Below are 19,104 nucleotides of genomic sequence, written 5' to 3' on the forward strand. Positions count from 1 at the left end.
TACTTTGCACTAGATACTCTTTTAGTCTCTTGGAAAAGGGATTGGGGCAGGCAGGATAAAAACAAATCATTTATGCCCACAAGAAAATTGCAGGAAGATAAAAGTCATGAAATAAACTCTGTGCTTCTAATTTAATATTTTTTTATAGATTATGAGAAAAACGGTTTGCTCACTATCAGCTAGGAAAGCTGTCTTAGCACAACCATTCATTCTTGCACAAATCAAAATCAAGACAAGCCAGATGTAATATTTTTTTACAGATTATGAGATAAAAGTTCTAATTTAATTTTTTTATAGATTATGAGAAAAAAGTTTTGCTCACTATCAGCTAGGAAAGCTGTCTTAGCACAACCATTCATTCTTGCACAAATCAAAATCAAGATGAGCCAGAAGGCTCCATTCTGACAGCTTCTAATGGAGAAGCTACATTTACTGGACATGGGGAAAGTTGCTGGGCTCTAAGGACTGTGCTCATTTCTTGAACTAGATAAATGGTCTTGGTGTAGCATAATACCAAAACTTCTTGTCGCAGCCCGTAAGGACAGAACTCAATCAGCCTGAAAAGGAAGTCAGTGACTCCGACTCAACACAGGAATGTTCTGTGATTCCTAAAGAAGGATGTAGGAGTGTGGCACAATTCAACCACAGTCTGTGGCCCTGTGCCTCTGCCTTGACATGAGTGGGATTTCCCAGCTGGTCATTTTCTTCTTATCTAAGACATTGGGAACAAATTACTTGACCTCCTCTGGGCTTCAGTACTCCCACTCATCAAATTAGAGGACTGGGCAGTCGCTAGGCTCTCTTTAGGCATCATATTTTAGTTTCTGTGATTTTAAATTTGAGAAGGGGTGTCTAAGGGAGAATACATAGGGGAGGGGGAAAGGCTTATTAAAAGTGTAGTTAGACACTGAATTTTTAAGAATTGCATTTTGTAATAATACCTTTACCTAATCAGGACTGACAGTCTTACCTGATGATAGCACCTGGAGGAATGGCTGCATTCAAAAATAAAAATGAAATAAAACAAGACCTTATTTGAACTTAGCAATAATGCTGATTCCTCTTTTTGATTTGAGGAGGTTATAGCTGTTGTAAATGCTTGAATTGGTTCTGCCCAGGCAAAACGGAGTCAAGAGTCCATGTCTGATGAATTTTAACAATGTAGACAATAAAAAGGGTTGCTTAAACTGCCCCTCTTTTACCAAAACACATTTACAAATGAAAGAACAACACTTCCATTTTTTAAAAACATTTTTTGAGATGAAGTCTTGCTTTGTCACCCAGAGTGGAGTGCAGTGGTGCCATCTTGGCTCACTGCAAACTTTGCCTCCCGGGTTCAAGTGATTCTCCTGCCTCATCCTCCCGAGTAGCTGGGACTACAGGCGCCCACCACCAATCCTAGCTAATTTTTGTATTTTCAGTAGAGACAGGGTTTCACCATGTTGGGCAGGCTGGTCTCGAACTCCTGACCCCAGGTGATCCGCCGACCTCGGCCTCTGAAAGTGCTGGGATTACAGGCGTGAGCCAATACACGTGGCCAAAAAATTTCCATTTTTAATTGCAGGGTCTGGGGAATTAAAACGCATCCATAATTTCTTGCATCTCTCTGCTCGGGCTTGCATGAATGCAGAGGGATGGGGAGGACTTCTTGAGGCAAGCATCCCCCTCTTGTCGCCTGCCATCTGGAGAGAGAGGGCTGTGATTTATCTCACTTTAATCAGGAAGGACCCGATGGGTGGATGGAGAGGTCTGATGGCTTTGTTGTTCCATGTGGGAAAGAAACGGACAGAGTGAATTTGTGTATGATCCCTAAGGAGAAAGCGTCTTTGTGCTCTATTTCTTTTTGACCTGGAGCCCCTGAAAGCAAGCTAGTTACAAGTTGAAATAGGCCGTTTCTAAAGTGTGATTTTGTTTGTGTATGAGCCTTGATTACAAAGGGGGAAAAAACCCGCTTAATTTACATACACCAGATGTAGTGCAGGATCCCCTGGGCTGTCTTTTCAGGTATCAGGAAACTTTGATGAAAGTCGCTTGTCTCATCTAGGAGTCATTTCATATTGTTTAGCAGAGCCTGGTATTAACATTTCCTTCCAACTGTTTACTGGAATCTGTGTGTTCCCTTCAAGTGATGCATACTAGGTGCACAGGCGTCCTGCCACTGTCATCCTAATCTTTCCGTGCAGACAGGAGCAGAGGGGAGAGCGCTGAGCCAGGCCCCAGCTTGCTTTTCTTTCCTGACTCAGCCCGGCTCCGCTGCACTTCTCAGCTCTTGCTGTAGGTGGTGCTGTTTGACCATTTTCTTCATGTGACCCTCCACTCGGTAATATAAATTCATTCGGAGGATGACCTGATATCAAAAAAAAATCCTTTTGATTAGTAGAATCAACTTATTTCTTCACACGATACTCTTCCCACTGAGACACATGGAGACAATTCTGACTCCAGGTTTGCAACCTTGAGATTTCTCTCAGATGCAATAAAAAAAACAAAAAAGCATTTTGAGTGGCACAGTGATGCCTAGTGCATGATCATGTTTGTCTGCTCAAACATAAAAGGGAAACTGGTGGGTTTGAGGATGCCCAGCAGCACGACAGCTGCCAATGTAAATGAGCGGTATAGAGAGAGAGGGGGCGGGAGGGGACTACAAACTTCAGAATATGAGCTGATCGTTTATAAAAAAAAAAAAAAAAAAAAAAAAAAAAGTCAAAAGGGAGCCCAGGATGGTGCAGGAAAAAGGAGAAAGGAAGATTTTCCTTGCAGCTAATCAGGAGAGTTCATAAGGGCTGATTACATGTGTGGAAGCCTTAAGTTCTTTTTTTAAAAAAATGTGAAAGTTTGCATGTATGTATGTATGTATGTATGTATGTATGGCTTCGTGTATTACCATTATTATTGCAATCAGCAAATGGATTTACTTCCTTTATCTCATGGGCTCCTTCCCACTCACTTTTGGCAGCACATTTTCCTTTCTCCTTCATCCCAGAACACCAAAGAACAGATGCGCTTCCTAACCCTGGCTCCAGGGGACTTTATACAATGTAAACAGTGCACCTCTAACGTGGTTCACCGCTTAGAGAATGTGTGTCCCATTTTAAAACTGTGACTCCTTTATATTTTGCAGTGCTTATTTTAATAAGAGACATTGGACTTGTGACTTATTTTTCATGGAGGAGTGAGCTTAATGGTTGAAAGTAATCGATAAACTTGTTTTTCCTCTGATGCCATCAGCCAAGATCCTATGGCAATAGTAAGAGGATGACACTGGGCTGGCACCCCCTCCATAACATATTTGGACCATTTTTTTCCCCCAGAATGCACATGCAATAGCTTTGGTTTGGTAAGAGAGAGATGGTGTACTTGGTTTCCTTCTGTCACACTTTTGGTGAAATGAATTAGACTTTTAAATCAGGAAATTCAGCGAGATGAGTTAGATTTTTACACAAGAGCAATGGAGGACTTCCAGCTGGTTGGGGGAATGATACGGAAATATCTTGCTAAATCAGGGTCTGGTGGAATGCTGCTCCCCTGGCAGGCTCCTCTTCACAGGGAGCAATCTGTGGGTTGCTTATAGAACAGAGCGAGCAGGAGGCATAGCATGGTCTTGCTCGTGGGAAGACCCGGTGTTCAGATGTCTGTCATTAGGAACTCGGTGTGGGCTTTTTCAAGCTAAACTGAAGCAGCAGTTCTATTAGGAAGAGCCTCTCAGAGCAGCATCTTCTGTTTCTGGATACTCTCCCTTTGAAAAGCCAGATTTCAGCAAAAAGCTTTGCTAATGGTGAAATTGCACAACTGAAACCCTATGGGAGCAATGGGAAAGATGGAGAAAGAGGTGGTTATATCATGTACTTCAACAGTTTATTTAGAGGCTGTTGACATTAGAATAACAAGCCAAGACAAACAAAAATACTCATTTTGGATGAAAATATTGTCTTTTCATGTTATTATAGATAGCTGAGTCCTAAGACTTATACAGAAACACATTTTCCTAATGAGTGGCTGATTTTTCTGGTTGTGCAAGTAATATCCAAATTATTGTACCAATTTTTGTCTCAGGAGCAAATATTGTATTGCATATTGAGCTAATCACTTGCCCTTTCTAAGGTAAGCCCTTACCTCTGCTTTCCCTTCATCTTGTCATTTCTGTTTGTTGGGTACAGGTTTCCTGTTGGTTCTTTCTGTTGGCTCTAATGTAACATGAATGAAGTTCTTAACATCCTTTCAGACATAAACACAACTTAGCTCATTGTTTCTGAGTTCATATAGAGGTTTTCTTGCCCCTGAGACTTTCATGTCAGACAGCTGGATGTTGCTGTGTTCAAGGCTCTATATGTTGATTTTGTATCCTACAACTTTACTGATTTCACCTATCAGTTCAGTTCTAACAGTTTTCAAATTTTATTTATTTGTTTTTGTTTTTTAAATATTGTACGTTTCATTTTAGAGTCAGGAGGGTAGATGTACAGGTTTCTTACACAGGTATATTGCACGGTGCTGAGGTTTGGGCTTCTAATGATCCCACCACCCAAGCAGTGAGCATAGTAATCGACAGGTAGTTTTTCAACCCTTGCTCCCACCATCCTTCCCTCCCACCTTTGGAGTCCCCCAGTGTCTATTGTTCCCTTCTTTGTGTTGAGTTCTAACCTTTTTTTAGTGAAGTTTGTAGGGTTTTCTATATATAACAAGATCATGCTGTCAGTAGAGACAATTTCACTTCTTCCTTTCCTATTAGGATGCCTTTTATTTCTTTCTATTGCCTAATTACCCTGAGAAGTGGTGTCTGTGGGCATCCTTGTCTTGTTCCTGATGGTAGAGGAGAAGTTTCAACTTTTCACCATTGATTATGGTGTTAGCTATGGGTTTGTCATACATGGCCTTTATTTTGTTGGGATACAGTCCCTCAATACGTGATCTGTTGGGTGTTTTTTTTTCACCATGAAAGGGTTTCAAATTTTGTCAAAAGCTTTTTCTATATCTATTGAGATGGCCATATAGTTTCTATCCTTTATTTTTCTAATATGGTATATTATATGTATTGATTTGCTTATGAACCATGACATGATCGTGGTGAATGATTCTTTCAATGTGCTATTGAATTTGGTTTGCTAGGATTTTGTTGAGGATTTTTGCATCTATGTAGATCAAGGATATTGGCCTGTAATTTTCCTTTCTTGTAGTGTTCTTGTCTGGCTTTGGAATCAGGGTAATGCTGGCCCTGTAAGATGAGTTTGGAAGTATTCCCTCCACTTCAGCTTTTTGGAAGAGTTTGAGAAGGACTGGTATTAGTTCTTCTTAAAATATTTGGTAGAATTAATCTGGGAAGCCATCTGGTTTTGGGTTTTTCATTGATGGGAGACATTTTCTTACTGATTCAACCTCCTTGCTTGCTATTAGTCTGTTCAGATTTTTTAATTTCTTCATGAGTCAATCTTGGTAGGTTTTACGTGTCTGGGAATTTATCCATTTCTTCTAGATGATCCAATTGGTTAGTGTGTAATTATACCTAGGAGTTTCTTAGGATCCTTTGTATTTCTGTGATATTGGCTATGATGTTTCATCTTTCATTTCAGATTTTATGCTATATTGAAAACATGAGGCATAGCAGGTAGGGGGCACTGGTCAGGACTTGGGGTATAAACTGGCAGATGTTAAGGTGGGTGATTCTGGTTAACTCAGAAACTCCAAAGTCCCGTGTGGAAGAATTAACTGCCTGTACTCGCCTAGTAATGTATATCCTTGGTCAAAAAAAGATCCAGCTGAGAATGTTGGATGAAGGGACCAAATCAATATTCATCATTATGTTGAAAACAAGTCAGATTGGCTGCGGTCTTTTGACAGCAGGTCAGTGGCTAAGTCTATTTGAACAAAGTTAGGGCAGGTTCAAGAGAGAATCCTGAGATCGGTATTCTTTGTTCCATACAACCTTGCCTTTCAGTTTCTTCTCCCCATGCCTCCAGGATGTCCCTGCACAGCCCGTAGGGCCCCCTCCTTCAGTACCTTGCCTTACGAAGGGGAGAAAATGAGTTTTCCAATGTTAGCATATATTTAGCCTTCCAAAATTTCTATTTTAGGGGAGCTCTAGGAAAACAGCAGATTACTCTAAATCCCCAGGTAAAAATCTGAAATGGTGGAATTTCATACGACCAGGAGACATATTTTGGGGCAAGTGGGCTTTTCACAATCACTTGGACATGAAGGCATCTGCTTCTTCTATGCCTAAAATATTCCTTCAATTTAGTAGTTTAATTCCTCTTCCTCTTTTTCAGATTTCAAGACAATACATGTACTGACTGAACAATTTGGATCCAAGTTTCACTGTTTAACTGCCAGTGTGACCTTGGGCGAGTCACTTAATCTTTTCAAGGCTCAATTTCATCATGTAAAGTGGAAGTACAAACAATCCCTGACTTACAATATTTTGACTTATGATTTTTCAACTTTAAGATAGTTTGAAAGCAATACACATTCAGCAGAAGCTGTACTTTGAGTACCCATACAACCATTCTGTTTTCCACTTTCAGTACAGTATTCATTATATTACATGAGATATTCAAAGCCCACTTTATTATAAAATGGGCTTTCTGTTAGATGATTTTGCCTAACTGTAGGTTAATGTGAGTGTTTAAGGTAGGCCGAGCTAAGCTATGATGTTTAGTAGGTTAAGTGTATTAAATGCATTTTCAGCTTACAATATTTTCATAAGTTTATTGGAATATAACCCCATTGTAAATTGAGGGGTATTTGTAGTAATGATATCTCTTCAAGGAGACTTTGTGAGCCTCTCATAGGAAAATGCATACACAGATGCATATAAATATATAATCTTTCTTTTCCATACATATGATATTCTTTAAGGATATTCAAAAATCTGGAAACAGTTGCCTCCAGGGAGATAAATGGTAGTGGGTTGGGAAACTTTTAACTGTATACGCTTTTGTACCTTTTGCATTTTGAATCAGATGAATGTATAATCTACATAAAATATTAAGATTAAAACATCACTGAATAACTTATCAGGAGTTTGGTGAACATAAGGGAAGGCCACCTATGGTGGCTGTATTTTATTCAGTGTTGGTCACTGTTGGGCACTTCATAGAGCTTATTTCATTTCATCCTCACAAGCGCCGTAGGAGGAAGGGGCCCCAGAGGGATTCATGGTTAGAATAGCAGAGTAGGAGCATTTGGCAGCTATATTCTGTGTAGGTGATAACTTAAAAGATATTTTTGTTATAAAATGTTTCAAACATACAAAAAATATAGAGAAGCAGTTTTCTATAGTTATTAAATATTCTTAAAATATTCTTAATGGGTAGTCATAGAAATTATCATCCAAAGTGGGATATTCTTGAGAGAAAAAGGAGGTTCTATTTATAATTATGGTGGGATAACAAACTTAAGATGAACAGCTCTAGACAAACTGGGTTGTATGGTCCCTGGAAAACAAGGATTACTGTAAATGTGAGTCCCGCCTTGTGCTTCTCTCTGTCCCACCAAGAAAATATGATCTTGATACAGATGTTCATTGTGTCAAGGCAACCATGGCAACCATGATCTAGATACACTGTTCAAGTTTTATGCTGATCCTACCTATATATGTCTCAGGAGCTTTCCAGAGTTTCCTTTGAGTGCTTCTAAATTTTGCATAAATGGTATGTTGTCCCTTGTCTCTTTTTAAAACCAGTAAGCCATTTTCCCTTATTTTCTTGGAAAATTAAAGGAACAAGGACCAGGAAATAACAATGTATTAGCTAAGGTTCTGTTGATTGAAAGCAACAGAACCTAATTCTGGCTAGCTTAAACCATGCTAGGATTTAATGAAGAATACTGCAGAATCTTAGATATCTTATGACTGGGAAAGAGGAGGTTCAGGCAGTTCCTGAGATGTCAGCAACAGGTAGCTGTCAATTAACTGCCCCCACACCACCCACTGCTGCCGTCATCAATATAGCACACCACAATGGCTCCCAGCCTCTGTACGTCTGGGTTCCGGTGTTCAAATTCTAGAGACAGCAAGAGAAATCCCATTGAGTCAGGGATCCTTCCCTGGGTCACCCTCCCTGCCTACGGTCAGAAATGCAGGATTATGTAGTAAAGACACAGCTAAAGAGGACCCACTTCACTGTATTGGGACCATTTGCAGGGGAGGCAAAATTGTGAGCTACGCACTTAAAGAGGTGATAACCATAAGTTTGCAGGAAAAAAAAAATTGGAGAAGAGAAGGATAACACTATCCTACGGTTTCTTCTGAAAATGGACGAAGGGAACAGCATTTCCATTTGGAAATTCTCTCCTGGCATTTCAATATTTATGGATTCTGAATTCTGAGAAAAATCAGTTGAGAAATTAGGAAAATGGGAAGGAACATTCTAATTTTCCTGTGAGAATTACAGCTTAATAGTCAGTATAGAGAACTTACTGGCTTGAAGAAATGCACTGACTTCAAGTCAGGCAAGATGAGGAAGCGCTGACATGTGGAGATGAAAGTTAAGGTGAACAGGACAGGAGCAGTAATGGAGCCTCAGTCAGACTTTCTTGTATCTGTTGCTGTGTTATAAGTGTGTGTTCATGGCCTTGTCCACTGCTAACAGTGAACCATTTCTGCAAATAAATATTAATGTGTTCATAGGCATAGTATATGTTTTACAAATCCTATGAGAGGTGTTCTAAGAAATGCCAAGTTTTAGAAACAAAATATGCCCTTAAATCGGCAATTTTGACAGTTGCTTCTTTCTAGTGCTATTCATCTTGCCAGGAGATCAGAATGTTATGTTATTTAAATGGTATTGGAGGGGATGATTGATGCCTTGTTTAACAATGTCATGTAAACAATGATTAAAGCATTAAGTATTTGTGGTGTTACCTTTCAATCTTTAAAGGACTTTTCTTTAGCATTTATTTTGTGATAATATTCATTTCTTTTTAATGTTTTCTCTATTAATGCTATTGGATTTTATAATCTTGTTACAATATGTTGGCTCATAATAATAAATCATCATTTGTTATCATATCTTTTTAAAACAGAAGACTACTAAAACTTTTCATATAATCCTGTTACAGAAAAAAACGACTATTTGCTTGTTATTATAGTCACTTATTATTTTTCAAAAACTTGTAAGTGAAGTGTTATGAAAATCATATGAATTTGGGAGTTCCCAAGCATTCTCAGAAATTCTATTTCCTTGTTCCCAAATCCCAATGATTAATATCTGCCAGGAGTCGGAAAACAGTGAAAGGAAGTAACATCCTATGTTGGATACCTGGTAGGGTTAGTGAAGAAACGTTATTGCTGAGCTCTGTGTTACGCTCACGAATGATGCCATTGAGGAAGTCACACTTGTTGAAAGGAACGCAGATACACAAAGAGTTTTGCTGCTGTCTGTTGGATAAGAACCCCCTGGTCGATTTCAGCTCCTACTGCAAGTTAGAAAAATCAATCCAATGATAAATGAAAAGTGACCAGTGTGCTGGGAAATAACTTATTTTTTGGCTTCAGAGGAAATTTTAGAAACAGTGCCAAGTGAAACGTAAAAACAAACTATGAAGACGTTCATGAATTTCCCTCTGAAGCTGACAGCCGTATTTTAGCAGATGGAACTCCTACTATTAGCCCAACTCTTGGGTTGAAACAGTGTGTCCAGGAAACCCTATGTTAAAATGCAATGTGTTGGGGATATTGTTCCTCTATTTGCTTGAGTTAATTTTCAAATTAGTGTACTCTTGCTTAGCTGTGCTCTGAGGGAATGAACAAAAGATTGGTAAACTCTGATGGAGAACACTGGTCAGGCAGGGCACATAGAATCCCTGGGGATGGTGGTTCCTGACAAATGGGGGAGGAGGACCTGAGCCAGGCTTGGGCTGGGCTGGAGGAACATGAAGATGGGATCTACTCACAACCCCCAGAACTGAGGGGTCCTGATAACACATTATTTCACCCTCAGCCATGCAAATTCATTATTTTTATGGATAAAATAGCTTTAAAAAACTAATTTACATTGAAATGTTAAAATATTTATATAGAGATTATTGGGAATCCCCTCCTAAAGCCCAAACATAAAAACTACCAAAAAAAAAAAAATTCCGTGTCGGCTAAGATTGCAAATGACTGATGGAATGTAATTTAAATTAAACATGGAAAATATATTTCCTCTTTAATAAAGATCTAAATTCTATTCTTTTTAGGAGCCTTCAGAAATGAAATTCAACTATTAAAAAAAGTATAGAGAAGCCTTTAGAAAAGAAACTTTTCTTTTGCTGTATTATATAATAAAGAACTTTGATGAGAATAGTTCTAAAGTGTTTAATAATCGATCACACTGATGTTTCTAGGTATTGTGGGGAACACCTAGAAATTAAATCTTCATCTTTGGCAGATCAGAGGCCTATTATTTTTAGGTAAAACAATTAAAATCTGCTTTTAATAAATCACAAATTTTGCAAGTTAGCCATTAATAGTAAGTGCTTTTCAAAGTTGGGCCCAATACATGAAAAAGCCAGAAAAACATACCTGCATTAGTTTTGCCCATCACCTTCTTATGCTGGCCTCAGGAGATTTATTAACAGCATTCAATATTTTAGGTAGGCTGGATGTGGTGGCTCATGCATGTAATCCCAGCACTTTGGGAGGCTGAGGTGGGAGGATGGCTTGAGGCCAGGAGTTCAAGACCAGCCTGGTCAACCTAGTGAGCCCCTCGGTCTCTCTGAAAAGAAAAAAAAATTTAGGTATCCTGTGGCTACCTCCAAAAACAAACTCCAGAGGAACTGAATTTTTTTTTTATTTCATGTGTTGGGATAATGGCTTCTTTTGCAGTTACTTACGAAGAATTTAAGGGTCAGTAAAAATATTTTTTCATCCTTAATAACATGAATTCTCTAATTTGTATGTGATATAATGCTAGATATTGTGCCAAAAGTGTTACATAGACATAATCCGTGCCCATTTTCAAAGATAATACTAATATAGAGAATAAGAATCATTATTATTGTAGTAATTATTATTTTAGTAATAGTAGTAATAATCAAAACAATTACATCAAACACTTATTAAACCCTTATTATGTGACAGGTACTGTTTAAGCAATTTCCACATATTAGCTCCTTAAATGTGATCACTAACTCCATGAGGTAGGTAGCATTATGTCCATTTTATAGATGCAGAAACTGAGCTTTGAAGAGGGAAAGCAACTTGCCCAAGGCCATGCAGGCAGTCATTGATAAGGGTGGGAAGCGAGAAGTTGAAGTCTGAGATGTAAGTTCACAGACACGAGTACGCAAACACGTACAAGATACTCGTATGACATGTGGGGTTGCTTGAAATATGTAATTGACTTTCCCCAGCACAAGAAAGTGTTTGGACAGATTTCAAAGGGATCTAACACTTCCTTAGAGGACTGCCCTACGACATTTTTCCGTGTGCTTTTCTGCCTCTTGTCCTATACTTTTGGCATTTCTTCTGCTCTTAGAGGCAATGAGTCAACAGCATATTTTTAGCACCTCCTGTGTGCATAGAAGTGGCCCCTGACTCAATGGGAGTGTATAACTACCATGGGCCAAATCAGCGTGCTTTCCTGTCAGCCAGGGGATTATAGAAGAACACGCTCCCCTGATTCCAACAGAACTTGCTGCCACTCTGATGTCTTCATTGTAAGGCCTCTAAATGAATGTTCCAGAAATTCATGTTAAAGGCACGTGTCATATGTGTAACTTGTAAACATTTGTGTACTTGTCTCTGTGTCCTTACACCTCAGGCTTCAACTCTTGTTTTTACCTTTATCAATGACTACCTGTGTGCTGTGTGGCTTTGGACCAATTGCTCACCCCCTCTAAAGCTCAGTTTCTGCATCTGTAAAATGGATATAATGCCATATATACATAGATATAGATATACATACACAAATATATATATACACATATATATGTGTGTATATACATATATATATAATATACAAACTGAAATATATAGTTAAATAAATATTTCAGTTTAAGTTTCAAAAATCACTGGAGGGTATTTTTATAATACCCTTCGGCAATTTTACCTGCTGCCTTTGCACATTCTGGTGAATTTCTAAATGGAAGTCTGATAGAGATTAATCTTTTAATGCATCATAAATAAAAAAATCACAGAATGATGTAGCTGGAGAGGACCCTGGGGATCTAAAGTGTTTCATGAAAGATTAATGTCCTTGATCTGTTTGTAAGTGTTTTGGAAAAATCTTCCATGGTCAAATAAAACTTGGCAATGTTGGATTAAAGTTAAATAGGTTTTTTTTCCTGCAGAACTTCATAGTCTTTAATATGCTAATGTGTTTTGTGAATCTACAAGGAATGAAGTGTTTCAATACTTATTTTACCCAGATTCTCATTTTGGGACAGGCTGGTCAAGCTGAGTCAGCTAGTATATTCTCTAGATGGAGATGATGGCTGATGCCTTTTTGAGAGCAAGAGAGTCCCCAGGGGAAGCAAGGGTATATCAGTTGCTCCTATTTCATGCCAAGGATCCTCAGTCTTTAGAGGCTCAGAGAAGGCTGAAAGGCTACTCTAGGCTATCAGGGCTACCATTCATTGTGACCCATGCTACAGAGAAGCTTTGAGCTCAGTGCAAAGGAGTGACCAGCCCTTGAGAATCAGGAAAATTTATTTATTCCTGACCTAGTCCACTGAGGACATACAAGGAATGGGGCAGGGGAGGGTCACCAGCTATGGTTACAAGCTAGTCTGATTCTCTTTCATTAAGAAAACTGGTCCCTGTGAGTTTAGATTGGGAAGCACCAGGTTAAAAAATTTTTAGGCCAGGAGTGGTGGCCACTGTACTCCAGCCTGGGTGACCGAGTGAGAATCTGTCTTAAAAAAAAAAAAAAAAAGTTAAGTGATGTCTTCTGTTGAGGACCTCTCAGAACTTTTAATATGAAAGTGTGCATTGTGAAGAATGGGAGTAGAGTGTACAGGAGTTTTAAAAGCTACTTGGTCATGAAACTCTTGCTTTGTGCAGGATTCGAGGGGCACTAACATTCTGAGGAAAATATTTTGGGAAACATTGATCTAATCCAAACTTCTCATTTTACCAGCAAACAACTGTGGGGCCCTCTAAGTTTCCTTTCTCCATCATTGTGACAAATTCATTGGAATTAATTCAATTAAACCTGGGGTCAGCTTTGAAGAGATTTATTTAGCAGGTAAATCTGTTTTGTACATTTTGAGGGAGTTCTGAGTTTCCATAGTCAAAAACCACAGATCAATTTAACCAACCTTTATGGAATATCACCTATGGCCCAAAGACCCTTTAGCTACAGTGATGGTCTACGAAAATATAAACTGTAATTCTTGCAATACAGGAGATTAGTAATAATGGTAAATATAATGATGATGACACCATGAATAGCTAACATTTATTGAATGCCTTTCTATTAGTCAGGCACTTTACTAAGTATTTTAATCCTCCCAACAATTTATGAGGTAGGGATTATAATAATTCCCATCTTATAGTGAGGACACTGAGGTTAGGAAATTATCCTAGCCTAAATGTTAAGTATAAGCATGAATAGAAAGGTGTTATCAGCCTATAAGACATTCCTTTATGAGTGATACAAAGTCCTATATAAATTCAGAGAAAAGAAAAGTGGTTTTAGAAATCCTTGATCAGTGAGTGTGAAGCACGTGGTGGCCCGGTTACTGTTTGGTTGCCCATCTGTCCTCCCTCTGGGGATCAGCACCCCCTTACTTTGGAAGAATTGTTTTCCTTTTCACTGTAAGTTTCTTTCTGGCTATGCGGTGGGGCACATTGCCTCAAACTAGCCCTGTTCCAGTCTTTGAGAACCTTGAAATTGGAACCAAGGGAAGAGGATTGCCTCTTGAATAGTAATTCTCTAAAATCTAGTCTGAGGTGCTGGTGCCTAATCCCTGGGTCTGTGGAAGGAGCTGGGCTGTGAGAGGGGAGAATGATGTTGATGTCAAGAGAGAGGCAGGTGCTAGGAGCAGAGAGATGGAGGCCTGGAGGGTTTCTGGGCTTCTCTGAGGCTTAGGGTTTGGATCATTGTCTTCGTTACTGGAACAAAGGATTTACCATACCTGCTCTTCTGGGAATGAAACTGTCCTGCTTTGCAAAATGAAGTGTCATTAGAAAGAGATCTTAAAAACCCCACACCATAGACAGGTGCACAGATCCCTAGAAGTGTTAAAGTTCTGTCTGTTGGATGCTAAGCCAAGACTCTTAAGTATGTTCTAAAGAGAAACTGGTGTGTGTAGGCTGTGCACTCCCAGGGAGATAAAAAGTTAGGAACTTTATGGGTTGGGCTTGGTGGCTCACACCTGCAATCCCAGCACTGTGGGAGGCTAAAGTGGGCAGATTGATTGAGCTGAGGAGTTCGAGACCAGCCTAGGCAACATGGTGAAACCCCATGTCTACAAAAACTACAAAAATTAGCTGGGCGTGGTGGCATGTACCTGTAGGCGGGAGGATCGCTTGAGCCCAAGAGGGAGAGGGTGCAGTGAGCCATGATTGTGCCACTGCACTCCACCTGGGTGACAGGAACTTTATGGGGAATGGGATCTTGGAGACTGAGTAGAGACTAGAGGAAAAAAAAAAAAAAAAAAAAACTACCTCCCCGACTGGCCACACTATTCTATTTAAAAAATGTTAATTGACAAATTAAAATTGTATGTATTTACGGAGGTATAATGTGATATTATGATATATGTATACATTGTGGAATAATTAAATCCAGAGAATTAATAGATTCATCACCTCAAAACCTATCTTTTTTGTGGTGAGAACATTTGAAATTTATTGTCTTAGCAATTTGGAAATACACAATACTTCATTGTTAACTACAGTCACCATGCTGTGCTGTAGATCTCAACAAAATATATTCTTCCTGTCTCAACTAAAACATTGTACTCTTTGACAACATTTCCCCATTCCTCTCACCCCCTCCAAAAACACCCATTCTTTATGTTGAAGAGAATGGCTAAAAAGTCCCAGCAGGTTTCAACTGACGGCTTCAGTGGTTGTCCCATCACACTTCAATGTTATTAATAAAAAGGGGAGGGGCAATACATAATTCGGACAGGCTGAAAGTACCATTGTAACCACTTTCTTGACTTCACAGAAAAAGTCCTCTTGTTTTCATCTGTAAAATGGGAACTGCGTGAATACCATTCTTCTTTTCTTCAGCCTCCAAAGGAAAAACAGATGCAAAGCCTTTTATCAATTGCAAAACAGTATACAATGTGTGTTATTACTCACAGTTGTCTTACTGTGACCAAACACTTTATAAGCCTGTGGCAAGTCAGCCTTACTCTCAGGAAGTGGACAATATTTGGGGAAGGAGAAGCAGCAGGATATTTCAGGACAGTAGCCTTGGTGGGTCCAAAAATTCCTTGAGAGAAATGGGAGATAGAACTTTCTTCCTGCTTTGGGTTTTATCCTGTTAGTCTTTTCTCTCTTCACTCCTATTTTCTATGGAGAATTTCCTGGTTTTGGAGTTTGGGTGCGTTTTATGGAGAGGAGGCAGAAAATCTTTAGCTCCAGCAGAATGAAAGGGTACATGCAAAGAAACCTAGCACAGTATCTGGTACCCAGTTCTCCTTTAACTTGGCTTTATTCATTCACTCCTGGTAGGGCATTAATAAGGGATTTAGCCCCCTCCTACTGAAAACGATTAATTCAGGGAAGAGTTCAGACAGTGTGGACAGATACAGTGTAGGCCAAGCCTGTTTCTAAGGCAGGAGCTGGGTAGGGAGGGTGAGAAGGGCGAGAAGAATAGGGAAATATGTGTCGTCTGTGTTGCTGCTGTTGCAACCACCACAACAAACAAATAAGTGAAAAAAAAAAAAAAAAAAGAATTGTCCATACCGGAAAGTGTGCTGTTTTGGAGGAGGCTGGGGCAAGTGTGGATGGCTCGAGTGGGTCCTGTTGGATTGAAGTCTGACAGTGGTGATTCCCTTCAACAAATGGTCGGGGTGGGAGGGTACACAGACACACACACACACACACACACACCCCACACGCAGCGCCCGGCCTCCGATTTCAGCGCTGGCAGGAGATAACCATTCTTAGCTCGCCTTTCCAGGGTTGTTTTTGGCTGAGGCTGTTCGCTGATGGCAAAAGGTTTCAGCCCCCTCGCAAATCCCTCCCAGTCCTTGTTCTAAAGAGAAACTGGTGCGTGTAGGCTGCGCACTCCCAGGGAGACAGGGGACGGGCCTGGCGCCGGAGAGGAGCCCGCACTCTGCCCGAAGTCTCGCCGCCCGCCGGCTGTTTTCTGGCGGAGGGTGCGCCCCGGAGGGCGGCGAGCGCGGGTGGAGGCTGCGGCCAGGCGCGGGTGGAGGCGTCGCCGGGGTCGGGCTAGCAGGCTCTGGGATCGGGCTTGTGGGACACCCCGAAAGTGAGTCCAACTTGGGGAGAAACTGAGGGCAGCTCGGGCGGTCTGGCAGCGGAGAAGGTGGGCGGGAGAAAACTTGGCAGCGAGGCAGAAGCGATCCCTGCCGAGGGAGTCAGCGAGCGGCCGCGCGGAGAGGAGGGGCGGGCGGTCCCCAGGCGGGCGGGTGCAGGGCGCGGGGCGCCGACCTGCTGGAGAGGGGCCCGGGCGCGAGGCGGAGTCCCGGCGCGCAGCCAGGCTGGCGGAGGCCCCCGGCCGGCTGCAGATTCCCTCCGGCCCCGGGAGCCGCAGCAGGACCGGCCGGGAGGCGCCGCGGAGGGGAGTCGCATCCCGGTGCGGACAGTGCCCACCGCGCCCTGCGAGGACCGGCGACCCACCGGCCTCTTCCAGGGCCAGCGCAGCTACCCGCCCAACTTCATCCGGAGCGCGCTGTCGTCCGTCGACCTGCGCGACCGTCAGGGCCGCACCACGGGGGTGGGCAGCGACGGCAGGTACTTCGGCAGGACGGCCGTCGAGGTCGGGGGGCCGATGGCCGCGGCCAACGGGGCGAGTGTCCGGATGCCCCTCGCTTCCCGCCGCGCCGCCGCCGCGCCCTCTCCTGGCCCTTGTCCGCCTGCTGCCTCCGGGCCCAGCTGGGAGGCCCCTGCCCGGCTTTGCTCCCTCACTCCCGCGTCCTCACCCTCCAGCGCCCCACTCCCGCCGCGCTCGCAGCCTCCCCGGCGCACCCCGGACACTGGGTTCTATTAGTACCCACCGCCCCCAAAAGCCCTGAGGGGTTTCCGTCGTTCCTGGAGCCACTCCGGGCGCCCTGGACTCTTCTCCGACTCTGCGCACATCCCGCACCTGCTCATTTTTCTTTCGGACATTCTCTTACCCGGCCCTGTAGATTCCAAGGCGGCTCCCAGTTTTCCATATTGTTCCCAACGCGTTCACTGCCCACAGTCCCCACACAAACTTCTTTCGCAGGCTCACAACATAGTCCCTCTGCCCCGTGCCCTTTTTGCAATAGTCTGCCAGTCCCCTAAGTCTTAGCTCTGCCTATTTAACAGTAGTGGTGTCTCAGAACACACACACACACACACACACACACGATCCCTGACATATTTGGCAAGAGTAGGCCCTGAAGGTTTTTAATATTTTGGTTCTTTAACCCAGTGGAATTACTGAATGATTTATTTAATTAGGGTGGGGATGGAGTGGATCCATTTGTTTGATGCTAAACAGCCTGAGCTCGCAGTTCCCAGGGGGCATATCTCTAAATGGTCTGAAATGAGATTTGCAGTGGTTTTCTTAATGCAATTCCCAACTTCTCTCCAAATGCCTTTTGACATCTGGCAACATTTCATGCCTCTTCCCCTTTCGGTTTTCATCCTTGTTTTCTCTCCCTTCTCCCACGACCTCGGTAGTCTTCTGCAATCCAGATTCTCAGACTTCAGGTTTTTCTCCCTCTGCCCCTTTCCTCTCTGTCCTGTAACTAGAAGCACCTTTTGGCATAGACCCATATCCCAGTTTCCTCTTTCCCAGGTCCAGCAGCATCTCAAGGACATCTACAAGAGGGATACCTAATTTCAGGGGTCTCTGAATTATATGTGGGAAACATCGTCTAAAAAAGTAATTTTATCCTTATTCATGCAACCAGACCCACACTCATAGAACTTTTCTTTAAGGGGAGTGTCTTGCAGATGTATAAATGAGTGTTAACATCTTTAAAAGCGAAACTGAACAATTCTCTGGCATTTGAATTCCCTCCTTCCTTCCCAACCCTCTCCTTTTCATTTTCTCATTTATTATTAAAAACACTTTTAAAGGATCTCCATGCTTCATATTTATCTACTATAATTCCTCCTTCTCGGTGTTGCAGGGATGGGGAAAGAGGATTTTTTAAAAACACAATAAAAAGCAATTGGGAGAAACAGGGCCAGTGGTGTTGGGGTGGGTAGTGGAATTGTGATTTTTGACTCCAGTAGACAATGATGCTGCATATATGGGGTTTGATTTCTCTCTGGCTCCTCAGTTGGGATTGATGAAGTTTGGCTAGAATCAGGGAGTTGAAGAGAGGTTGACAAATGGTCTTTCACTCTTCTCTGACAGGCTGTTCCTGTGGAGTGATGGAGAATAATGAGCCTTGGGAAAGCTATGGGAGCTCTCATACTCCTTCCCGAGCCAATTTTTTAGGGAGTGAGAGAAACAGGGCCTGTCCAATACTTGTTGTGGGTCAGGATATTTTTGAAGCTACGGTTGTTGATTTGCATGGGAAAATTATTATGTCTTATTATTTCTTGTCCCACTTTACCATAAGGGCTCCTCAGCTTCTTACTTCAATGGGTCTTCCATGACAAACACACTTTATTAACTCTAAGAGTGGAATTTATTTTAACAGATAATTAGCATAGGTCAATATATGCTTAAAATAGAGTCAAATTAAACCTACTAGCTGTTATAAAGGACAGATGACAAATTAAAATCCACATAGAAGCATCGACTCTTAAATAATCTGAAAGTACTACTTCTAAGAGGGGTGGGCATGGGTGAAGGGAATGGTGGACATGTTTCAGAATTTCAAACAGCCAACTTTAACCAATCTTTTCCTCATTTTGTTCACCTTCTTGGGGGCTTATGCTAAAGTGAAGTGAATAGCCATAAGGCTTCAGGAGAAAGGTGGTCGAAAAGAACTGGATAATTATAAGCAAAATTGGTCTCGAATGATTGAAAATTGATGAGAATGTGCTTGTCTCCT

General features: G+C 41.7%; 1 protein-coding gene, 1 long non-coding RNA gene and 1 pseudogene across 6 annotated transcripts in view; 1 reads left to right on the plus strand and 2 right to left on the minus strand.

Annotated features, from left to right (window-relative positions):
* Positions 1-3,341: 3,341 nt before the first annotated feature.
* PGM5P4-AS1 (PGM5P4 antisense RNA 1) lies at positions 3,342-17,385 on the minus strand. 3 transcript variants are annotated; one of them, NR_121185.1, is made up of 4 exons: positions 17,242-17,385; positions 10,502-10,694; positions 9,255-9,411; positions 3,342-3,797 (listed from the first exon to the last, which is right to left on the minus strand). It is a non-coding gene; the product is annotated as a PGM5P4 antisense RNA 1 (long non-coding RNA). The 3 variants fall into 3 exon arrangements; NR_121186.1 differs by lacking the exon at positions 9,255-9,411; NR_121187.1 differs by lacking the exons at positions 3,342-3,797; positions 9,255-9,411; positions 10,502-10,694 and adding an exon at positions 14,724-15,164.
* PGM5P4 (phosphoglucomutase 5 pseudogene 4) overlaps positions 14,209-19,104 on the plus strand; it is a 29,425-nt pseudogene continuing 24,529 nt past the window's right edge. The window contains exon 1 of one of the 2 annotated variants that reach the window (NR_146438.1): positions 14,209-14,225. The product of NR_146438.1 is annotated as a phosphoglucomutase 5 pseudogene 4, transcript variant 2 (transcript). Of the gene's footprint in view, positions 14,226-16,165; positions 16,374-19,104 lie in introns of those variants that run through there. The other variant, NR_146439.1, reaches the window with a different exon arrangement.
* Positions 14,724-17,203, minus strand: LOC124908046 (EZH inhibitory protein-like). Its single transcript, XM_047446881.1, has 3 exons — positions 17,122-17,203; positions 15,845-16,999; positions 14,724-15,164 (listed from the first exon to the last, which is right to left on the minus strand). Exons 1-2 carry the CDS (start codon positions 17,201-17,203, stop codon positions 16,137-16,139), a joined length of 945 nt encoding a protein of 314 aa, XP_047302837.1. The 3' UTR covers positions 14,724-15,164; positions 15,845-16,136.

This window comes from Homo sapiens, chromosome 2, assembly GCF_000001405.40.
Source record: "Homo sapiens chromosome 2, GRCh38.p14 Primary Assembly".
NCBI classification, from domain to species: domain Eukaryota; kingdom Metazoa; phylum Chordata; class Mammalia; order Primates; family Hominidae; genus Homo; species Homo sapiens.